The 23,825-nt window shown below is 37.6% G+C and overlaps 1 protein-coding gene and 1 long non-coding RNA gene across 2 annotated transcripts in view, besides 4 other annotated features; both read right to left on the bottom strand.

Annotated features, from left to right (window-relative positions):
• The window catches only part of MEIS1 (Meis homeobox 1), a 138,745-nt gene that overhangs the window by 11,080 nt on the left and 103,840 nt on the right, over positions 1-23,825 (bottom strand). The window contains exon 9 of the mRNA NM_002398.3: positions 14,771-14,847. Within this exon, the coding sequence (NP_002389.1) occupies positions 14,771-14,847 (77 nt within the window). The remainder of the gene's footprint in view (positions 1-14,770; positions 14,848-23,825) is intronic.
• On the bottom strand, positions 1,666-14,765 carry LOC124900511 (uncharacterized). The gene is made up of 2 exons (XR_007086610.1): positions 7,419-14,765; positions 1,666-7,119 (listed from the first exon to the last, which is right to left on the bottom strand). It is a non-coding gene; the product is annotated as an uncharacterized LOC124900511 (long non-coding RNA).
• Positions 6,364-8,182: an enhancer, noted in NCBI's record as "HHc2:066659". NCBI's record gives its function as "enhancer in forebrain, hindbrain, otic vesicle" and the evidence as "EXISTENCE:transgenic organism evidence [ECO:0001131][PMID:22448256]".
• Positions 12,804-14,569: an enhancer, noted in NCBI's record as "HCNR629". NCBI's record gives its function as "enhancer in neural tissue" and the evidence as "EXISTENCE:transgenic organism evidence [ECO:0001131][PMID:24642863]".
• Positions 12,804-15,172: a biological region, named in NCBI's record as "HHc2:066650 enhancer in MEIS1".
• Positions 14,481-15,172: an enhancer, noted in NCBI's record as "HHc2:066650". NCBI's record gives its function as "enhancer in forebrain, midbrain, hindbrain, eye" and the evidence as "EXISTENCE:transgenic organism evidence [ECO:0001131][PMID:22448256]".

Below are 23,825 nucleotides of genomic sequence, written 5' to 3'. Positions count from 1 at the left end.
TTTTCATAGAATCATGAGTTAGAATTTCTTCTTCTGACCAAACTATCTCCAGTCTCAAAACAAAAAGCTTTACAAAGGAAAGGAAGATAATGGGTTTGCTCTATAGCTTTTTTTCATGTCCAAATAGAAATATATTTCTTTTTTACTTAGTTGTTTGTTTAAGACTCAAGTCCTAAAAAGCGAAAGAGGAAAGTTGGCAGGGGAGCAAAATCTCCAAAAATCTGAGACCTGGATCATCTAAAAATTGAATTTTATTTTGAATTTTTTATAGGAATCTGACAAGGAGAATGGGAAGTGACTGTGACTCATGTTTAAAAAAGAAATACAGGAAGTTTTGCTTTGTTCTTTCTTTTTTGTCCCCAGATGTTTATTTATCATTAGGCTTTTTTTTTTTCCACTGGACTAATTTCATCTATCTCCTTTTATTCTCAGTCTTTGGATACCTGAATAGTTTTCTGAGCAAGATCTGGCAGAACAGCTTTTTGAAACTGACCTTTGTCCTTTAGTTTATCCTCCACTCCTTTCCCTGGTCTCTTCCCCCAAAACTGAATTGCTAAGTTTAGTTTCCCTCTGTGAGAACCAGGAGAGGTGAGGAGATCACAGTGGGCATCTGTTAGGAGCCAAAACACAAGGTAGTTTCCCAGTTTCACAGGCAACATTTTCCACATACCTTTGCCCTTTTCCTCCCTTGTATGGCTCTCTGTAATACTGATAAAAGTAAAAAAAAAAAAAAAAAAAAAAAAAAAAAAAATTACTTGCTCACTTTCAGAAATAGCATTTTCACCTTTACTCAATTAGTTCTATTCCTCAGTGTTTACCACTCTACTTACTCCCTGATAATTAAAGGAAGCCCACATTTGGTTATGTTAGCATGCCACAGCCAACTTGGTAAACCACAGAAAATCACAATGGTGTTGCCTCCAAACAATGACATGGCTCTGCTTCACCCCCCGTCGTGTTTCTTGCCAACTAGGCGTAAGTGAACTGTCAGCAGGATAGTGGTGGACATAGAATTACTTCAGAAGGTTCCTAACTAGACAGAGAAATATCATTTTACAACATCTGCAAGTACCTAAGAAGCTAATCAACTATTAAGAAAAGATTTTGTTAATTAGTTAGATTGATTAGTGGCAATGCCTTCTATACCTACACTATCCCTTAAGGGAAGTGCTGATTATAATAATCTTTTATTAATATTTAGCTAGCGTTAGGAATATCTCTATAAAAACTTAGTAATAAAAATTAACACTGTGCATTCTTAAATATAAGATTTCTGCATATACTATTCTTTATTCAATAGAAAATAAACATGCACAGATGATAATTGATATATAATTCATTTTTGTGATTTCTATAAATATTTTCAAATTTTAGAATTTAAACCTCATGAAAAATCTTCAAATATAAAATTTATCATTGGAAGGTAGTTGTCAAATCCCAACATTTTGTTATTTTTTTATTCCAGGAATTTCCTCACCATAGCATTTCCTTCATCTATATCATAGTCATTTAAATAAAATCATATCTACTACTTTTTTTTAAAGTCAGCATCCCTTAATAACTTTTAAGGCATGTTTTATAAACAAACCCTCAGGGAAAGAGGTCTAGTTATCTCCCATGTAACTCTCTGTTCTTTTAAACAACAATAAAAAAATCACTCTGAAATTTTTCTGTTGGAACTCTTTATTTTAGATTTACATTTACATATTGGATTTAATGATCCATAACTGTTGGTCTTCAGAGTTCAAGTCTTCTACACTCCCTTTCTTTGTGAAATAAAATTTCATGAAACATGATTTTAAGATATTCAAGAAAGTTGATTCATTCTCAAGTCAAACCTTATGAAATCATGTTTTTGGCACCTTTTTCTAGTTTCTTAACCTCCTCCAGGATCCAACAGTTCCAAGATTGCAATACATCATCAGTGTGTCTGCGGGTAGGGGAGGTAGAGAACAGCGGCAGGAGGAGAATAGACAGGAGGGGAAAAGGGAGCACCTCTCTTCTCTACCCACTTGATAAACATAATATTGAAATTTGGTCAAATCATAAGAAGTCCATCAATCAGCCACATGAAAAGTTTTCCTTCTCTAACAGTGTTGGGGGTATTTGCCAAATTACTTTAGAAAGAACTGAAATTGTCTACCACAGTTGAGGAAGGTAATTACATATACAATTTTCTTTTCTTTTCTTTCTTTTTTTTTTTTTTGAGACAGAGTCTCACTCTGTTGCCCAGGCTGGAGTGTAGTGGCACTATCACAGCTTAGCAACCTCCACCTCCCTGGCTCGAGTGATCCTCCCACTTCAGCCTCCGAGGACTACAGTTATGCATCACCATGCCTAGCTAGTTTTTGTCGTTTTGTTTTTTTTGTAGAGACAAGGTTTCACTATGTTGCCCAGGCTGATCTCAAACTCCTGAGCTCAAGCCATCCAACCTCCTCGGCCTCCCAAAGTGCTGGGTGTGAGACACTGCACCCAGCCACTAAAATTCTCTTTAAAGCAGCTTGTGAAATGAACCAATCACTAGTTGACAATGATGATGCAAAGTAATATCAAAACTCATGTATTATTTTGGCCTTAGGCATTAAAATAAATTTCAAATAATTCATCACTTGGTATATATTACAGAAAATTTTCCTTGAAAGCAAATTTTGAAATGACTTCATCCTAAAAAAAAAAAAAAAAAAAAAAAGTGATGGCAGGGAGTTGTGGCTTATGCCTATAATACCAGCACTTTTGGAGGCCAAGGCAGGAGGATCATTTGAGCCTGGAGTATAAGATCACCATGGGCAACATGGTAAAACCCTGTCTCTACAAAAAATGTAAAAATTAGCTGGGTCTGGTTGTGCACACCTGTAGTCCCAGCTACTAGGGAAGCTGAAGTGGGAGGATTGCTTAAATCCAGGAGGTGGAGGCTGCAGTGAATCATGATCACACCATGGCATTCCGGCCTAGGCAACAGAATGAGACAGGGTTTATATTTATATTTAAGTAAACATAAAATATTTACTTACATGTAACAGACAATTTGCCAAATTTGAGTTTGTATAACCTTATGGAGCTAAAAAAAATAGTGGTTTAGAATATAGATTTAAAATGATTATTAGCACAATGTAGAAGCAATAGCATGATCTAGGATAATATAGCAAAACTTCCTCTACTAATGAAAAAGCTAAAATAGGTATAATAATGTCTTCAAAGAACAGAAGTGTCTCTCTTTAGTTTAATAGATGAACCATTTTTCATTTAAATTCCAATTTTTCCATATTCACAAGAAGTCAATAAAATTGAATCTAACAAAACATCCCTTACACATTACTGAATAAATGTATCTATTTAAAGCAAATTCTAGTTTTCTGCCAATCTCTATTATAAATATGATGAGCAGATAATTTGTCATCTAAACTGGGACACGTTTGAGAGTGAAGAGGCACTGTTAACAATTACACTGGGCAACAGGCATAAACCATGAGCCTCCCAGGAAAGTGGGATGCATGGTCACCTTAATGATCAAATATGTTTTATTTTCCAAAGAAAGTTTCCCCCAAATAATTTAAAACCCCGTTGTGTTAGAATGGCAACCAGCCCCCATATACATCAGGTTTTTTTGTTTACTTGTTTGTTTGTCTTTGAGACAGAGTCTCTCTCTCTCTCTCTCTCTCTCTCTCTGTCACCCAGGCTGGAGTGCAGTGGTTCGATCTCAGCTCACTGCAATTTCTGCCTCCTGGGTTCAAGTGATTCTCCTGCCTTAGCCTCCCTAGTAGCTGAGATTATAGGCACCCACCAACATGCCCAGCTAATTTTTATATTTTTAGTAGAGACAGGGTTTCGCCATGTTGTCCAGGCTGGTCTCAAACTCCTGACCTCAGGTGATCTGCCCTCCTCAGCCTCCCAAAGTGCTGAGATTACAGGCATAAGCCACTGTGCCTGGCCCTAATCAGGTATTAAAGAATCTTAGCTCCATATTGGAGTACCTTTGAGCTCCTTCCTTTCTCTAGGATCTTGCCTGTAGTTGCCTCAGTTCTCCAAGTCTTCAGCAACCATAAACCTCTAGACCTGGAGTCTCTGCTCATGTCAAGAGAGGATATCTCAAAATTTAGCTTGATTTCTAGTTCCGTCTGGTTATGAAATTAGGCTATAGAATGGCACAATGAAGATGATTTGACTTGAATGGAGGCTTGCATGCATCCTTGGAATGTTCACTGTGACCTCTGTTTTAATGAGTAAAGCTTGAAACCTAAGCTCTATGTAATAATATATGTCAATATGTAACCTGTAGACCTTTAAAATACAAATGGAAACACACTTAAAGGAAAACAATCTCTCGAATAAAGACAATAACATTAGCAAAATGACATCTTGGAATCTGTCAAATCTTTGAAAATGCTTATGGTCATCTAAGTCATTTCGAGGGAACTTTGTGCATTTTACTGCTGAGTTGCTGGATTTCAGTGTGACTATCCTTTTTCTTTTTCTTTTCTTTTTTTCTTTTTTTTTTTTTTTTTTTTTTTTTGAGATGGAGTTTCACTCTTGTTGCCCATGCTGGAGTGCAGTGGCGCAATCTCGGCTCACAGCAACCTCTGCCTTATGCGTTCAAGCGATTCTCCTGCCTCAGTCTCCCAAGTAGCTGGGATTACAGGCATGCACCCCCACTCCCAGCTAATTTTATATTTTTAGTAGAGACGGGGTTTTTCTATGTTCATCAGGCTGGTCTTGAACTCCCAACCTCAGGTGATCCGCCTCCCTCGGCCTCCCAAAATGCTGGGATTACAGGCGTGAGCCACTGTGCCCAGCCAACTTTCCTTTTCTTTGAACATCACTCGTAATTATCACAGTCAAAACACTACCCAGTGGCGGGGAAAGTGAGAGCAGTGTGTAGTGAGAAGAATATGAGAACTGAGTGGGAAAACTGCCACTCACCGGCAAGTTTTCTAGCAGTGTTTAGGTGCTGAAATTGGGATGATCGAATGAAAAGTGCTTTCCAAATTATACAAACCTAAGACAGGTCTTTGTTGCTATACTGTCATTCCCAAAAATACTTAATGGTACCAAAACTTGTATATGAACGCTTATAATGGTAAGAGATGAATATCAAATGCCCATCCACTGATAAATAGGTAAAAAAAAGATACCTTATATCCATACAATGGAACATTGCTCAGCCTTGAAAGGGAATGAAGTGCTGATAATACATGCTATGACATGGATGAACCTTGCAAACATTATGCTTAGTGAAAAAAGCCAGTCTCAAAATACCACGTATTCCATGATCACATTGGTGAAATGTCTAGAATAGGCAAATATAGAGACAGAAAGTAGATTAGTGGTTGCCAGGAGCTGTTGGAGAGAGAGACGGAAGTATAAAGAGGGGCAATAGCTAAAGGGTACAAGGCTTCTTTTTAAGGTGGTGAAAATGTCTTTTAATTGACTATGGGGATGGTTACACAACTCTGTGAACACACTAAAAACCATTGAATTAAATGGGTGAAATGATGGTTTATGAATTATATCTCAATAAAGCTGTTAAAAATAAGTACATTCTAGTGGACTGGAAGAAGCACTGGACTAGGAACCAGTCCTAGCCCTGCCTCTAATTAGCCCTGAGCCTCATCTGTCGTATGATGCATAAATTCCCTCCCTCCCAGGATTTTTACTTTATGGTTCTGTAGCATAGGGTTTCTAAAATTTTAATCCATGCTCCCTTTTGACACATCAAAAATCTTATATTCCTTTGTTATTTGCAATTTCAAAAGAAATAGCATGACTAAAAACAAAATTTAATTCTCGATATGCTTTTTAAATACTATATTCACTCAAAATGATTGTGACATGCTTCTTATGTGCCCCGCTACCCCCTCTCTGCGCCCCCTCCCACCCCGCCCCAAGTCCTGAGGATAGGAATCTCTGCCATAACCTACTATACTTTCCTTTCTGTAAACAGTATTGTCAGGTAACCAGCCAGGGGGCTGAGATCCTATATCTTTTTGTACATGTTCAATTCTTTCCATAAGCTTTTAAAACATCCCCCTACCCACTCCCCGGCCCTTTCCAAGTACATCTGAACTATGACCCAAACTAGCAAACAAACAAAGTCAACCACTGCAGATGTCCTAGTGATATAGGCCAACAAAACCCTTCAACCAGACAACAAACCTCAAGACTACTGGTTTGCATTTGATTTAGTTAGCATCCTAGAGTAAAAATACTGAAAACTTACATGCACGTGTGTATGTGTGTATAATTATATGGTGCATTAACTTCCATCCGTAGGCAACATATTGTTTTTGAAAAAAAAAAAAAAGTGACTTTATCAATATTAAGCCAGATCTCACCAAAGGCAGGACATTTATTTTTGAGCTAAGTTACATGTAGCTCCAATCATCTCCCCCAGACCTGGAGGAGTTAATGTGTTTGAAAAAGGAAATACTTTTCCCCTTCTTCAACCATAGGATCTAATCTTGTGAGGCACTGGTTAGTTAAGAGGGTAAAAAGGAAAAGAAACCTCTCAAATATGTCGGAACAGATTAATATTCTTTTGTTTATTTGTTATTGTTCAGGCATCAGGAGCATGAAAGAGTTAATTATTTTCCATATTAAGGGGTCAGGCTAAGAGCGTTGTAAGAATGAAAATAAAATAGACAGGAAAATATTAATGATTTATGAGGGCATTGAACAGGACAGCCTTATATTTGCCAAAGTTACAGGCATCCATGTTGTTGTAGGTTTTTTTTTGTTTTTGTTTTGTATGTCCTCTTTCCCCTTGAAAATCAAAAACGAAGCAGAACATAACCCTCAGCGTCTACAGAAAGCTCCTCGGCGTGCACACACTGGAGCAATGCAGACCGGATCTAAGACCAACGTTTGCCCTCGGAAACACTTCCTTCCCCCGAGCCCCTGGCTCCACTCCATTTTTCAAGAAAACTGTTCTATTCAACCAGGAGGCAACATTTGCCCCATTTTTTAATATTTCAGGCTGACTTTTTAACCACTCAAAAATGCTGTTTGTTTTCTGTAGGCACAGCCTGAAGCCAGATGATGATGTAAGTGAGAGGAGAGAGAGGGTCTCTCTGGGTACTGCGCTTCCGTGCTTAACGGTTAATCACCCAACACCAGCCTCAGCAACTGTTGACACAAAATAGGTGGAGATCAGGTCTGTGCAAGCAGAAAATACCAGAAAGGCAAACTATATGTAAACACACTTAAGACATATTTGACAAGAATAGACCTAAACCTGACTTGCTAGGAAACTACTAATGTCTAAAGCTTCAATGCCCCTCTTAGCCGAGTTTGTTTCCCCTTACAGAGCTTCCTTTGAGAAGATGAAGAGTAACATTTTAAAAACTAAAATACATTTACAGAAGACAGCTGAGACATTTGTCCCCTTGATTCACATAGTGAGTTTCAAATCTGCTCTTACATACAGGATTTATGGAATGTAATACGGTTCTTCCACGTATGCTTGGAGTGGAGCCAAATGAAAGAGGGAGGGGGGTTTGGGGGGTGGAGAGAGACGAGAGAGAGAGAGAGAGAGAGAGAGAACACGTACACACAACCACAATTCAAAAAGTTATTTCTGCTGACCTATAAAACTCATGCAAAGAAGCAAATGGATAATGCTTAAACAGTCTTTTAATCTTATCTAACTGACACCTGACAACCCATTACTTATAGATTATTAATGCATCCACTAAAAAGTTTGTCATGTTCAAAATTACTGGAGAAAAAGATTGAATGCCTGAGGAAAAAACAAATTTTGCTGTACAATAACTTCAGAAATTTCGAGCCTATTATCTGTCATGCCCTTCATAGACTCATAGCACACTGCTAAAAACAACTGATTTATCTTTATTATGAATCCTAAAATGACAGCACACATCTTTTTCATGTCTTGTGATAATGTTTAATTTCATCTAGTTTTTATTTTACAGTGTTTGATTTGCTTATGTAAGATGAGGAAAGTTACAACTACAACTTTTTAATTAATTTCTCTGTTTGTCTCCTTATCAAAGTATTTTTTTTCCTTCCCCACTCCTAGGATAAAGCTGGAATGAGAGTTTCAGAGCGCACACTTTACTTCTCTTTGATTCACATTATTACACAGTCTAGAATATTACAGCTAAAAGAGTCCTTTGAGTCCTGACTAATTCGTCCTACTTGTCCATTTTAAACCAGAGGACACTGTCGCCCAAATCCAAGGAGTAGGGATGAGGGATGAAATGTTTTGATTGCAGCGACCTGTCCCTGCATTTCCCCTTCCCATACTTGCCCTGTGTAAATTTTAAATTGTCATGAGGCTTACACCTTAGCCACCTATGGATGAGGCGTAGCCAAGCTCTTCCCCCTTGACCGTGACACCTCTCAGCCCCTCATCCCTATGCCCTCTCCAGGGAAATGGGAGTCAAGTCCTGCCCCATCGGGTTGCATGACCCACAGCCTGTTGTTTGCATTTCTCTGACCAGATACTTACAGACACACTGAAAACAAGAAGACTGGCTTAATTAGGATTTGCAACAAGTTGTGCTGACCTGCATACCATGTTCAAAGTCAACCTCCGTTGTCACTGGTTTCATTGCCTTGAAATGAATCATGGATATTCAGAAACATTGGGTCCCTGCTGGGTAAATCAGTCTCCCAACTCACTCAACTCTGAGCCTCACTTGAACCCCAACCCTACAGGGTCCCGACATAATTCCTCAGGTTGTACCAGCTGGATTGCAGCTTCCAGCTAGTGTCTTGTCCTCCTGAGAAGCTCAGCAACTGCCTTTGAATGCTGGCTGGAGGAGAAACAGTGGTTACACAAAACCATATTTGGACTTTCAAATCCACCCTTCCTACATCCTAGACCTTCATTTCTTTTCTCACCTAGACTTAGGGCCCCATGGTGGAAGGGGCAGGGTTTTTCCAGCCAGCACAGTGTTTCAAAGTGTACTCTTTCATAAGGAGCTTTCGTCTTTAACAGTATTAACGATGTGATTTTATGCAGTGGGGAAAAGCTCTGAGTAAACTTATGGTGTAAAACTTACAACAAAGTATATTTAACAGACTGCAGAGTCATTTTCAAAGAAGATTGTTTGTTGGAAATTTTTTAAATCTGAAGGAAAAAAAAAGCAGTGTCTCTGTTGAACTCTTAAGACTCTCTGACATGACAATACCTGAAGGTTTCTAAATTCACAGCTCTTTTCCCTGCGAGCTATTTGCTCAGCTTTCCTAATAATACCCTGCCTGTCTGGCGCCCCGCCAGCTCTGTCTCAGGCAATATGCAAGCTAAACATTTTTTGACTGATTTCAATATTTTCTTATGAGCAACTAGACAGTATTTTATCTAGTGAGTATTACTGATTGCTATAATCTAAGCCCAGAGTAAGCGTCTGTAAAGGTAATATTATTAGAATTGACACTCAAGGTGAAAAGCATAGCAATTAACCGAGGCTTGAAGAACAACAACCCATTCTGAAATATTCTGGGGAGTTCTTCCATTTATATTTCTCCTTTTTCTTTTTAATATACCGCACCTGTTACTCCATTGATCAATTAGGAAGTCTACTTTAAATGTAGGTTACACTTCAATTCTCAAGGGAAAAAGTTAAACCACCTGCTTAATACAATTACTTTCTATGTGTGAAGCTGTTCCATCCCTAGGTGATTCCTAGGCAAGGAAAATCACCATACAGCCCACACTTTAATTTTGTAGTTGAATAGCAAACAAGTGACCCAGAGCTTCTTGCATCGTGTACTGTTTTTTTCTTTTTTTTACATCTGTTTTCCTTGCTTTTGTGTCATACCTCTGTTTAACTTTATTGACAAAACAATCTGTGTCTAATATTCAAACAACATCTGTAAAATGTATTATTAAATTATGTTGGAAGAAAAAGCAGAACAATTCTATGAAACCCTATGACCCCTATTGATTTTTAGATCACAGAAGTTGAAAGGATAATTTGTGAATGTTTTAACATTTACATCTAAACAGGTACCTATATTTATAGAATCTTTGATTATTTGTAAAAGTATTTGCTATATTATTACCATAACTCAGAAAGAAACTTGACCTTTAACAGCTGAATCTGTTTATTATAATAAAGGAGATCTTATTTTTAAAAAATAAGTTTACATTTTTACTTGCCAGTGGCATAAATCTCCAAGGATAACATACTTTTTTCCCACTCATAATAAATGGGAAGTGATGCCTGAATGCTTTGCAGCTTTGAAAGCAATAAATGAAATAACTAGGAAAATCTGGTATGAGCACTAAATCTAAGAAATGTAGAGTACCATAGTTCTGAACAGTGTCATCTTGGCTGCTAGGATGGAACCTGGAATTTTATATGCTCTCTTGATGGAGAATAATTTTTCTCTATATATAAATACTGTATTTCACATACACTATATATTTTGCACCTAAAACCCATATTGCCTTCTCAGAGCATAAAGGGATAATCATTTAATATCAGAACTTAATAGGAAAGTGTTTGGATGAGGAGTAGTAAACAAAGAAACTGTAAAATGTATTCAGTACACCCTAGGCCAAAACTCTGCTGAGGCAGGAGGCAACTGAGGCATCCAGTAAGTACGACACAAGTACAAGAGATAAGTTTTCATCACAGGGAATTCCCAGGTCCGCAACACTGGTGTGATCATGTATAAGGGAATTTTTATCTGACCATTCTACACTCACATTTTCAATATAAAAAAATTAAGTTGGTCTATTCAGGAGAAAAAACAACCAAGTATTGATTGTGTGTGTGTGTGTGTGTGTGTGTGTGTCTTCCATAAAGTTCTACTTAAATACTTAAAGGTCTAAACAACCATCTAATCTCAAAATTTAAGATGTTTCTACTTAAATTACTAAAACATTTGCATATTGGTAATGTTTGCACTGCTGATATAACATAAGTATTTGTTAAAACCACAACAACAGTAAAAAAGCAAAGAGACAAAAGCCCCTGATGCTATTATTTATCATTTTTGGATAAAATTATAATTGGGAGCAAGGGACCAAAGAAGGAAGAATACATAAATCTCTGGTGCATATTATGTTTCGAAAATGATTACACTTTTAAATCTAAGTCAACCACAACATACTAGATTGAAATATTTAGACAACTAGTTATGGAGGTTGATTTTTTAAAAATATGCAGTCACATCAAATACTTAGATAATTTATTTAAAAATATTTTACTCAAATTATTTACATAATTGCCTCAATTCTCAAAAAATTTATTGGCATAGACTTGGCCCACAATGTCACATCTAATAAATTTCACATTCCATCCTAGGGCCCACATGCTGTAAGTACTGATGCCAACCATTTTAAGATTCTTTCTCTCCATTTTTATTCTGACAATTGGACCAAAATAAGAGTTATAACGAGATTTTCTTTTTTCCAGATTTTCTCTTAATTAATCAAATCAGTCTTATTGTTTTACTTTTAAGTTCTCTCCTCTTTTGCCTTTCTCCCCTCAAATCCCATGTACTTTAGCCTTAGCCACCTGAGGCAGGTAGTATATATCACTGTCAATTCGAGAAATGTAAAATTAGTTCAGTGATGAAGTGAAAGAACCATTAAAATGTAGCAAACTTCTTGTCTATTTTTCAGTCAAAGCCTAACTTAAAACTGCATCAGCCAGGATTTCTATGACACTCTAACAACTAGACATGAGTTTATATTTTTCACTTACATATTATATATTTTGATACATTATGTTACTGCTAATAATTATGACTGATCTACACTCAACCTGTCCTTCAGCATTTTATTGAATTGCATTTCAACAGTGACTCATAGTTCATACAAAAATGTACATGTGTATTAACAAGTTTTAAGAAATCCAAGAAGGAAGACACAGATGTTTAAAAGTTGTGGATAAATAAATGAAAGGGAAACACAGAAATACTAATGATGACATTTTCAAAATTATTATTTTTAGTAGAAAATAACTTGTACCGATGCTCAGTATAGCTAAGATGAAAAACATTTTTTATAAAAAATGTTTATAAGTGGGTGCAGTAGCTCACGCCTGTAATCCCAGCACTTTGGGAGGCTGAAGTGGGTGGATCTCTTGAGCCCTGGAGTTAGAGACCAGCCTGGGCAACATAGCAAAACCCCTGCCTCAACAAAAGAAAAAAAAATTAACTGGGCATGGTGGCATATGCCTGTATTCCCAACTACTGGGGAGGCTGAGTCAGGAGGATTACTTGAGCTAGGAGTTGGAGGTTGCAGTGAGCCATGTTCACACCACTGCACTCCAGCCCGGACAACAGAGCAGGACTCGGTATCAAAACAAAACAAAACAAAACAAAACAAAACAAAACAAAACAAAACAAAACAGGAAGAGGTTTCTATAAAAATTAATAAACCATTAAAAATTCAAATCAAACATGGTATTGTCATTATTTGTCAAACTAAAGAAAAACAATCTCTCTTACAACTTTTAGTTACTTGAGGGACATTTTCTACAGCAAACAACATTGTTAAATGTTGAAACAATTGCCAAATGCAAAGCACTGTGGTGCAAGCAAAAGCCACTTCTAACTCCATATATATACAAGTAGAGAGAAACCACACACTGCACAAAGTGGCAGTTAAGCACAGAATTGTGTTTCTGTCCCAAATAACTAATTAAAAGCTATTTTTAAGTTATTTACCCGTGCAGAATTGAATAGCAGTGTGAAGTTTAGGGTAAAGTCTGCATATACTTTAAAATTATTTTAGAGTGTGAATTAAAACTTTTTAAACATCCTTTCTCTCCCTTCTGGTTACAAAACTGAGAAAGTCGAATTGTGATCATGGACTGATTAGGAAGATTGCTCTCCGGCAGAGACTGTGCATAGAATTTAGAAAACTGTGTGTATATATATATTGCTTGAAGTCACAAGAATGCCTTCCTCTTCCTGCATTCACAGGAAATATCCCATAATAAGGCCGTCCACCCATAGTAAGCAACTTGTATTGGGATTTGTTCTCTGGTAACTGTGTTTATGAGTGGAGTTTGCTAGCAACCCTGCAGAGGAAGAGAGATGGCTCACAGGATAGATCCCCTGAATGACAGCGCTTTTCGTTTCTTAACTAGAGAGCTTGTCCTGCCACTCCTTTGCCCGCAAACAGGAACACTTCCCAGGGAAATGCGGACATTTGTGCAGCCTCCATTGTATTAAAACTGTCTCAACATCAGCTTTAAGTTTTAAAATACAGATATATGAATCTAGATGTGCACGCAAAATTGATGGTCTCCCCTATAATATCATCCAGGATATTATATTTCAAATATTACATATTTGAAATTTCATATTTCAAATATGAAATTATTACATATTTGAAATTTCCAATATGTAGTATTAACAGCCTTGAAAATTAAGACACAGTAGCAGGTAGAAATAGGCAAACAAAAAACCTCAGCAGCCACACAACTCGTAGTAACACATTTAGATGTAGTATGCCTTTGCTTGGTTTACCATCCACTGATGAAAAGGGCTGCAAAAATTGATCTCTCAAGGCAGCAGTAAGGTCATAGAAATTGATAACCCTTACAAGCAATTCTTATGTGAGTCTGTCTGTGTCTTGCAGATAGTGCACTTTGTAAATTAATCCTCCAAAGGCAAATATATTGTAAGTAGCTTGTTATCTCTAAAATACTAAATTGAAGAATACATGGGATTATATTGACAGAAATTACATTTTCTGTAATGGGGTTTAATATATCTGAAATCTCTCCCAAAGGCTCCCAGGCTCTCTAACAGAGAAGGGTCTGTTAATGTAGGTGCAATAGACATCAAGAACAAATTTATTCACCAAAATGGATTAGGCCATGTAATCAGAGATTCTGTAATATTAATCTTTGACACTTATTGAACAGAAAGAAATACTTCTGTCTGCAAACTGGCATTCCTAGTTCTCCCCTTCCCCAGCCCAGGCTTTGGGCCTTTTCTGGATTTTACTTCAAAGAGGATAAGGTTTCCCCATCATAAACACTAATCTAAAAATATTAGGACAATTAATTAGATACACTTACTTTTAGAGGATATTGGATTTCGATACCCTTCAAATATGACACTAGTCCTGGGTGATTATATGAAACCTGGCTTTCAGCACATTCACAAAGGGTAATAAATCATACTTTCTCAAAGCCTCATTGCCACACTGCTGTACATTGAGTCAGAATATTGTTGGCTGGTACTTGGTACATAATCTCAGCTTCGCCCCAAATCAGGAATTTACACTTTATTTAGAAACAGTATTGCACAGCCACGAGATGCCTCAGGTTTGGAATAGCCTCAAAGAGAAACAAATAATTTCTTCCTTTCAGTATTCAGGAGATAAGAGCAAAGGAGAGGCTATCCTTGAATGCATAGCCCTAACAAAATCTAACTGAATTTAGTTATTCAATGAATTTAAACCTGACTGATATGTGATGGTGGATTTTCTTGTTTTGTAGAAAATAGGATGATACTACTCTATCGATTACCCTGAAGGGGGAAAAAAAAAGCCATAGAGAGAGATACATTGACAGAGCCATAGTGAATGTGAATTACACACATACTTATACTATGCATAAAATTGTCAACTTATAAAGGAGGTAGAAGACAATACAATGTTTTATTTCCCATACTAGCAAATGTTCTCACATATCAGTCAACAGTTTGTTTTCACTTTTGAATCAACAAGCCACCAGGGAAAGCAGTGGCAACTGGGTGTGTCTTCTTAATGCAAAACATGAGCTGCAGGTTGCCAGAGGGGGAAACAGATTGTGTGTAAACACAAAGCCAAATTACTTACCAATTGTTCACTTGAAGGATGGTGAGTCCCGTGTCTTGTGCCAACTGCTTTTTCTGTTCTTCAGAAGGGTAAGGGTGCTGAAAGAGAATAAAAAAGATACGTGTGCATCAGGCAATATTTAGCCATTTTGTCAATAGCCTAAGTGTCTCATGAAGTCTATAATTAAAGGTAAAAATGCTGAGGTGTGTCACTCTTATTAATGGAATACTACATCATCTAATTAATGGCAGTAAAAGACAAGCCAATTACAAAGATTAATGAAGTGTATAAATAGCTACTTAGGATACTTGCAGAACCTTGACACTGAGTTTATCCTTTAACAGCTTTATTTGTTGCAAACACAGAAAGTTTAGTATGATCTTCACTGTATTTTATAGGATTAAAATAAGGACAAGCCATTTGTTACCACCTAAAAGTATACTGCCCTAACTTAATATATTCATTGAACCATAAATTTCTAAAGCTGACCCATTTGGACCAACAATCTCAGCTGAGGTCCACATAGTGACGTTCTCCCTCTAAAACACCATATTGCCAGATGCAAATATCAAATCTAAAGTGGGTGCTATTAAACACACACACACACACATACACTATTCATTTTCAGTCCTCAGCAAAAAAAACAAAATTCACCAATGTTGGTTTCCAAATCTGAATGTCAACACATGCTGAGATTCTGAACACAGGCCAATATAAGGTCAAAGACCAGCATATTTTGCATGCTAAGAACAAGCCCAGCTATGTTCCTCAAGAGTCATAGTAGATAAAAGTATTACAGGATTAGATAATAAAGTGAAATTCATACCTTCCTGTAAGAACGTTTGGAATTCTACTGAAATTAGTTTTGGCACAAATGCTTTCTGTTCACTGATCAAATATATCTAATTTGAAATACATATTTCTAAAGCTTAGGGGAGGAGCTGAGGATATGGTTTCCATCTATAGAGACATTAGCTTGCTTGAAACACCACATCTCAATAAATTATCCCAAGATAAAATTCTTCTGAGAGTCAACCCTCTATTCTATTATGAATGGAAAAGTGCACCCCCAACCCTTAATTTAACTATCTGTGCCATGGAAACTAAATTGTCGTCTATTGAATGCTAATTGACATAGCTTTTAATTTAATTAATAATGTCTGATTAGATGCTAAAAAGGCTTGTTAATGACCACTTCAGTACTCTTATATGTAAGTTTAAATATGCTCTATATCTATACACAGGGGATTTGTTTGTGAACAGCAGAGAGATCACAATTTTTCCCATAAGCATTGTCTATGATTGTCACTTAATCAATAAATACACAATTAGAATAAGGCTTTGCTTTCATGGAATATAGTGCCTTTCTCTAAAGAGCTCCAAGTATATTACAGACAGGATGGTAATTAATCCCCATTATATCCCTTTGAGTGACATAAATGGAATCTATCATCCCTTCTGTTTTACAGGTGAGGAAACTGGCCAGGGGAAGAGATGGACAGAGGCAGACATAAGTCAGTGATATTTCCTGCTTCCCTTTCAGTGCCTAAGCCTCACCATGACCAAAGGATGTAGCAGACGCCTTTCATAATCCCCATTCATGTCCCCTGTGAAATAACCTTCAGACTGGTTACCATGGCCTGCAAGGCCTGTCACCATCCAGCCTTGCCCACTTCTCAGATTTTGATACCTTCTTCTCACCCGCTTCCTACCCCTATACCAAGCCACACCATCCTTCTTTCTGTTTTCCTAACACCACCAGCTTTTCCCGTCACTCAGATTCTTACCCCAATGTCACTTTTAGCTCTCAGCTCAAATGTTCAGCTTTACCCTCCCCACCTCCCAGCACCCCGCCTTATCACGCTCACATTCATCTTTTTCTTATTTCCCTAATAGCAAGCATCACTCTCTGAAGCACCTGCTTTAATTGTTTATTTCCTTGTTGGTGTGTCTTTTCTCACTCATCTACCAATGCTAATAAACCCCTTGCCTTGCTTTCTGTTTATCCTCAAAGCCCAGACTGGGACATAACAGAAAATCACTAAATATTTGTGGAACAAAGGAATGGCTGTACCATGCCATGACAGACACTCTCCACTCAGATGCAACATCAAATTGTATAACAAAGCAGAAACAATCCAATTTAAGATCCATGACACTACTTTCTTTGCTTCATTCACAAAAGTGATGTTGACCCACTTTCTTCAAATGAAGGTATATAAACCTCCTAATAGGCTAAGATCATAAGTGACTACTCAACAGAATGCCAGCCATTGCAGCCAAAGTCTCATGACTGGCTACTGAGCTCAAAGGAATCCATTACCCTAAGGTTTAAAACATAACTCCCACTGTATAAAGATTTGGCACACAATACAAACCAAATGAATTTCTTATCCCATGGATAGAATGCTGAATTACAGCTTGATATACAGTAGGTCTATGTCTCTACTAGTTGAAGAATTGTACCTAATATAGGTGACTCTATTAGATTGTATAAATGATGCTGCCACTCATTAACTATGGGACTTTGAACAACAGACAACTTTTCTTATCCTCAATTTTGTCATCCAGAGTTCTAAGATCCATTGAGGTTAAAGATTACCCAGGCTAGCAGTTCTTACAATATTGCAGTGCCAGAAGACAAGCTCAATTTTGAAATATGCAAATATTAGCATCCCACCACTGGCACTATGTGTCATATAAAGTTGTACACTGAAGTACACAAGCAACTTCCAATCTATAACATTTCCTGTAAAATTATTTGCTGACAGTTGTCCAGGTCTTACAGAAATCACTTGCAGTGATTTTTAATAGAATTAATAAATATGTCAACAGTCCTTCTTTAGTATAGTCAGATGGCAAAACCTTTTGCCCTGTCTTATTAGTTATGTCTTAATATTATGACCAGAACTGGATAAAAATTATTATTTATACCATTTATCTTTAGTTACTTTGAAAACTGAAAATTGTCACAGTAATTTATTTTCCTGTATTTTCAAGAGTACTTTTGCATGCCTGTTTATGAGCAAGTTTTACAAACATTCTTACAAAGCAAATGGAATTCACATTTTATTTATGCAAGTGGTGTCACAAAAATTCTCTTTGAATCATTACCACTACCTGGAGCTTCAAAGGGTAGTAATATGGCTCTCAAAATTTCAGTGCAAATTTCAGTTGTTTCTTCACATCATATAGTTTCTGATTTCATAATTTAAATATCACAAAATTAGAAAGTTCTACCCTTTTTTTCCTCTGTCACTTTTCATGTGATCTGATTTTAAGTAATTGGAACAAACTGTATCTAATTTCATGCAGCATAATTGCTAGGCAGCCTCAAGCTATGGAGGCTCAGCACTCTGTCTCCATTAAGAAATTTTCAGTTGTTCGGGATATATATATATTTTTTTAATACAAATGAATGAGCCTGGACAAATTAAATGTCACAATAATCTGGCCATTGTTAAGAGGAGAAAAAGGTATCAACAACATTCCTAAACCCTTGTCTATGGTAGGTCAACTGAATGTATTTCTTTTTCTCATAGTTCTTGGCCTTAGTGTCCCACAAACTTTCAATTCCCTGAAAAAAGTCTGTAATTGCTAGAATCACATGAAAGCCGTGACTTCATGTAGTTAATCCTTAACCAGCCAAAAATTCACAAAGAAGTAGGCTTTTAAACTGAAACCTAATATGTTTCAATATCTTAAATCCTATGCATCTTTACTAAATAAAGCTTTTTGTGGACAGTATGAGTTATTCTTTTATAGACTTAAAAAAAAATGACTTGACAAAAACCCAGCATGCCACAGGCATGGCTGCTGAAAAAAAAACATTGAAAGCCCTGTTGCCTTCTGCCCACAGGTCTAGTGAGGCCATGCAATGGGCAAAGGCAGACGTCACTTTGCAAAAGAGATAAAGAGTAATCTCCGAGAAGTGCTGTTTTTAGGGAGAAAATGGGAAATTCATTCCAAACCTTTGCAACTAAAGGCCTATGTCACTCCTTGCCATCCTCCCAAACACCTTTGCTGTTATTGCATCTCAAGGACACAGTTTAAGAAAGATCAGTAGGCTCTTGTGAAGGCAAGATGGATGGCACTTCCCAGATATACCAATCAACCTAATCACTTCGGGATATCAAAGCAAATTTGACCACAGTCCCATAGACAGTGAGGGAGACCTCGCCTTTGTTGTGTACATTAGCCTCATGCTATTATCTTTTAAAAGCTTAATTATTTGCAAACAATTGATCAAGATGGGAATTTGAGAAAGGATATGCAAGGGCCACTGGGAGAACTGCAACACATTAAGAGAGCAAACAAAATTACCTTTAGATCTTACAATAAGAATTAACGATTGAGAGGGGAGAGCCAGGCAATGCAGTAGCTGCAAGGGTTCTTTCTCGAGTGTTTCCCATTTGATCTGCATTAACACCTCAGGAATGAGTGAAAGCCATAAAACAGTGATTATGTATGGGTAAAGCTGGCCCCTCCCTTCCAGCATTAAACCTGCACATGTGTATTAGGCTGGTTTGGCTGCAGAGAGAAGAGATGCTGGCCTCAAAGGGAAACTAAGTGGCTTGTGGGCAGTGGAACCCCAGCGAAAGGGAATAACTCATGAAATGATCATCCTTATTTCAATCGTCAACACCTTGACTTCTCCTTTCTAGCATAAATCTCTTGCTGAAATATAAACCACTTGCCACTCTTCATGTATTTCTGGATATTGCAGTGACTTCCAATAATGAACCAGTATAGAGTGATTGCTTAATGACCCCGTCAAAGAATAAAATGATCCTTAGGGTAGGATCCTGTATAAAAGAAATAGTTAAAGGATGTCTGAGAAAAATCTAAAAATAGCTTATGTAAAAGTTAAGCCTGAGCTGTCATTTTACCAGCCGCAAATAGAAAGTGACAGAAAATGGTGACTTACTCAAGAAAGTTATGTCTGCACATAACCAGTGTTATTTCTTGAGACTGGGATGGGAGGGGGATTTTAAGTTGGTTATCTGGTATTTACAAGTTTACAATACATTGAAAGAAAGTGTGTTTATTGAAACAATCAAGCAGACTATTTCAGATGAGCATCAATGGGGAAGAGACAGACTCTGTAGAATGCAGTTAGAAAATATCCAGCTTTACACCTTAATATCTTTGACCAAATGTACTTCTTTCATCAAAATTTCCACCCTTGGCTACAAATGTGGATGCCAAGAAAGTGATGAAGTTTATCTTATCTACCCTGGTAACCAAGTTTCAATAACATCCCCTCCCTCACCACCTTGGCCACTCTAATAGCACATTGTAATGGCAGCAGAAAATTTGAAAATAATCCTGTACAGAGCTTGCTGGTGAGATAATGGAAGGCTACACTGCCCCTTCTCAAGCCTCAGATTAGTAATTTCTTGTGACACAGAACTGCCTCTATACCGAAACTGCAAAACGGCTATAACAAAGCAATAGAGGTAGAAGCAATTTTCAAGCAAAATGTTACATGCTATACTTTAAAAGGTATGGGAATAGGTACCAGAGGAGCTGATCTAACAGGAGGAATTATGGCAACTGTCCAATATAAGCCTTATCCAGGCAATGTTCTGTTGCTTGGCTGAATATGTTGGAAGAACAATTTCAGAACTTCTTTTATCCTTTTTCCTCCAGCCCTTTGCCTCCTCCACAGCTAAGTTTAATGCATTAATATAAGTTGACCTTGAGCTAAACTCTGGTATGTGATGGGGAGATACTCCCTTTAAAGAAAAAAAAAAAATCTACCATATGGTTTTTAACTATTAGATCTCTGTGCTCTTTTAAAACTTCTACTGAGTTTTTGTCACTAAGGGAATACTGTGGATCTAAATGAAAATAACCAGCTATATATTTGACCTCTAAGAGACTAAGCAGAAACTTGTTAACCAAATATATTTATATTTGTTTAACATAATGGTTTTTTGCCTATAAAACTTCTCCCACTTTAAATAAACTTGCAGCCATTTTCCCCTCCTGCATTGACTGTGAATAGCTTACACTGTGACAATTACATTGATCTAGGATACTTTTTTCCTTTAAAAAAATCCATAATGCTTCCCTATTGTCTTTCAGCTTTATGAATTAGTTTTACTGTTTCAGTGAATGCTTTTTTGTCTTCTGACTGCACATTATCAAAGAGACACTTTGTGCCTCCTATTTGCATTACAAAAGCAGTGCACCGTGCAGTCGCAGAACATAGCCTGAATGCATAGTAGTTGAGTCCTGCATCCTCGCACATGCTGGAATCAAAAGAAGGAAGGGTGGTGTTGGGACTGGCTAAGAAGCCAGAAATGTTTGGAGCATCATCAGTAGAGTCATAGGATTTCCATCCGCTTTCTTAATTCTCCACCAACACTCCTATATTGCCTAGTTGCTCAGACTAAATGGGCTCCATTTTTTGTTTAGCGTTTGTTTTTTCTGGGGCCCAGTAGAGTCATTCTGCAGACAATCTCTCTGATTTCTGTATATCCAACAGCAGTTAAAAGAAGTTGCCAGTGGAGGTGTCAGGTAGGAATCTATAAATGTAACCTTAGCACATGAAAATGACATAGGTGTGGAAGGAAAAGTAGAATGCTGGATAATGTTTCATAACAATCTTTGTTTTTTGTACTAAGACTATATTTATAATACACAGTAGTAAAGACATTGTTTTATAGCCAATTATAAGAGACCAATACTAAAATGCCCTGCCTGTGCGGTGGCTCACACCTGTAATCCCAGTACTTTGGGAGGCCGAGACGGGAGGATCACAAGGTCAGGAGATCGAGACCATCCTGGCTAACATGGTGAAACCTCGTCTCTACTAAAAATACAAAAAATTAGCTGGGCATGGTGGTGGGCACCTGTAGTCCCAGCTACTCGGGTGGCTGAGGCAGAAGAATGGAGTGAACCCGGGAGGCAGAGCTTGCAATGAGCCGAGATTGCGCCACTGCACTCCAGCCTGGGTGACTGAGTGAGACTGTCTCAAAAAAAAATAAAAAATAAAAAATAATAAAATAAAATAAAATAAAATGCCCTCCCTGCCTCACTTATCTGATCTTTTAATTTCTCCTAAATATCAATTAAATAGAAAATGAAAACACTAAATAAAGAAGTCAGATACTTATATTAAGAAACTGCATAGTCCTTTGTATTTGGAATTTTTTTTAAAGTTGCTTACAAATTTATAAAATAACAATGTTTTAGATATATTCTTCATTAGCTACACATATGTTACAGAAATATTTTAAAGTATATACGTTTAAGACATACAGTTTAGATTCCAAATTAGTGATTACTTATATCCTCTTCCTAAATGGATTAACATTCGTGAAGGATGCTAAAATTATGTTGAACAGCTATTAATGAATCCTCTGAATATTGATTCTCTCAGTAGAAGACCATGCTTATAAGAGGAAATACAAAAATGGCCATTAAGAAAACCAGGGCTGGGAGCAGTGGCTCACACCTATAATCCCAGCACTTTGGAAGGCCAAAGTGGGTGGATCACTTGAGGTCAGGACTTGCCCGACATGAGGAAATCCCATCTCTACTAAAAGTACAAAAATTAGCTGGGCGTGATGTCAGGCGCCTGTAATCCCATCTACTCGGCAGGCTGAGGCAGGAGAATCCACTTGAACCCAGGAGGTGGAGGTTGCAATGACCCAAGATCACACCACTGCACTCCAGCCTGTGCAACAGACATCTCAAAAAACAAAAAACAAAACAAAAACAGGACAGGAGGCCCTTGGGAGTAGATAAGGGAGAAAACTCATGCTTTACTTTGAAGTGTCATTTTTGAATCATTTTAAACAATAGCTCATTCAAACTCATTATTTGTCAGTACAACAAATGCATTACAGGCATTATTTCATGTACTCTTGGTGAACCCCCTGAGTAAGGGCTGTGCTTAGCTCCTTTTCACAGATGAAGAAGCTGAGGGTTGGCCAGGTCAAAAACACACCAACAGCACACAGCTACTTAGTGCTGGTGCCAGGTCTGTCCGGCCCTGAGTTTCTCCACTTGGCTACACTCCCACTGCCATTTGTTTCTCATTTCTCCATTCCCTTTTTTAACAAAAAATATATTATAAGGGAGTATGAACCATGTTATTAATCATGGTGAACAGAGAGGAAAGAGTTGCCATTTCCCTGCTCCTCCACTCCTACCTGAATATCCACTGCTTCTGCCTGGGAGGCAGGCAGAAGGGGAGGGGAGGGGGCTGTCAGGGAAAGTTAGTTCATCAGAACCTTGACCCATGTTCTCCTTCCAGCATCCAGCCAAAGGAACTTTATTAATAGTAGCTTAGCAGTATTAATAAGAGTGGAAGAAGTAGTCATTGTAACATATATCAGGAAGTGAGAATGTGCCAGGCGCTGTTCCAAATGCTTCACTTATATGACTCCTCACAAAAGCCTTCTGAGGTAGTTAACAGCCGCTAGACCCATTTGATAGATGACGAAACTTGAGCACAGAAAGGACAAAGGAAGTTCTCAAGTTCACACAGCTGGTAAGTAGTAGAGCTGGAATTTGAAACTTGGTGGTAACATACAAGTCGGGAAAATTCACTTCCAAACGATTTTGTCTTTTATATAATAGGTGAAGAAATCCCACTGACTCCTGGTGAGTTAATCATGAATATATATGATGATTATTACTTGTTATATGAAAAAAACTATTATCTTAACGTATGTGTGTGTACCTTTTATTTCTACAACTCAGTTCTGCTAATGGAAGGAAGAGTCAATCTTGCTGTAAGTCAGAAAACTCAGTGGAAACTCACATGCCCATCACTTTATTAATGCTTGTAGCATTGCTTATACAGGAATGATAGTAGCTTATATACAAGAGCACTTTTGGCCAGGCACGGTGGCCCACACCTGTAATACCAGCACTTTAGGAGGCCAAGGCAGGTGGATCATAAGGTCAGGAGATCGAGATCATCCCGGCTAACACAGTGAAACCCTGTCTCTACTAAAAATACAAAAAATTAGCCAGCCGTGGTGGCACACGCCTGTGGTCCCAGCTACTTAGGAGGCTGAGGCAGAATAATCGCTTGAACCCGGGAGGCGGAGGTTGC

The sequence above is a fragment of the Homo sapiens genome, chromosome 2 (genome assembly GCF_000001405.40).
Source record: "Homo sapiens chromosome 2, GRCh38.p14 Primary Assembly".
NCBI lineage: Eukaryota > Metazoa > Chordata > Mammalia > Primates > Hominidae > Homo > Homo sapiens.
The sequence above is the reverse complement of the archived record's forward strand: the minus strand, read 5'-3'. Positions and strand labels throughout refer to the sequence as shown.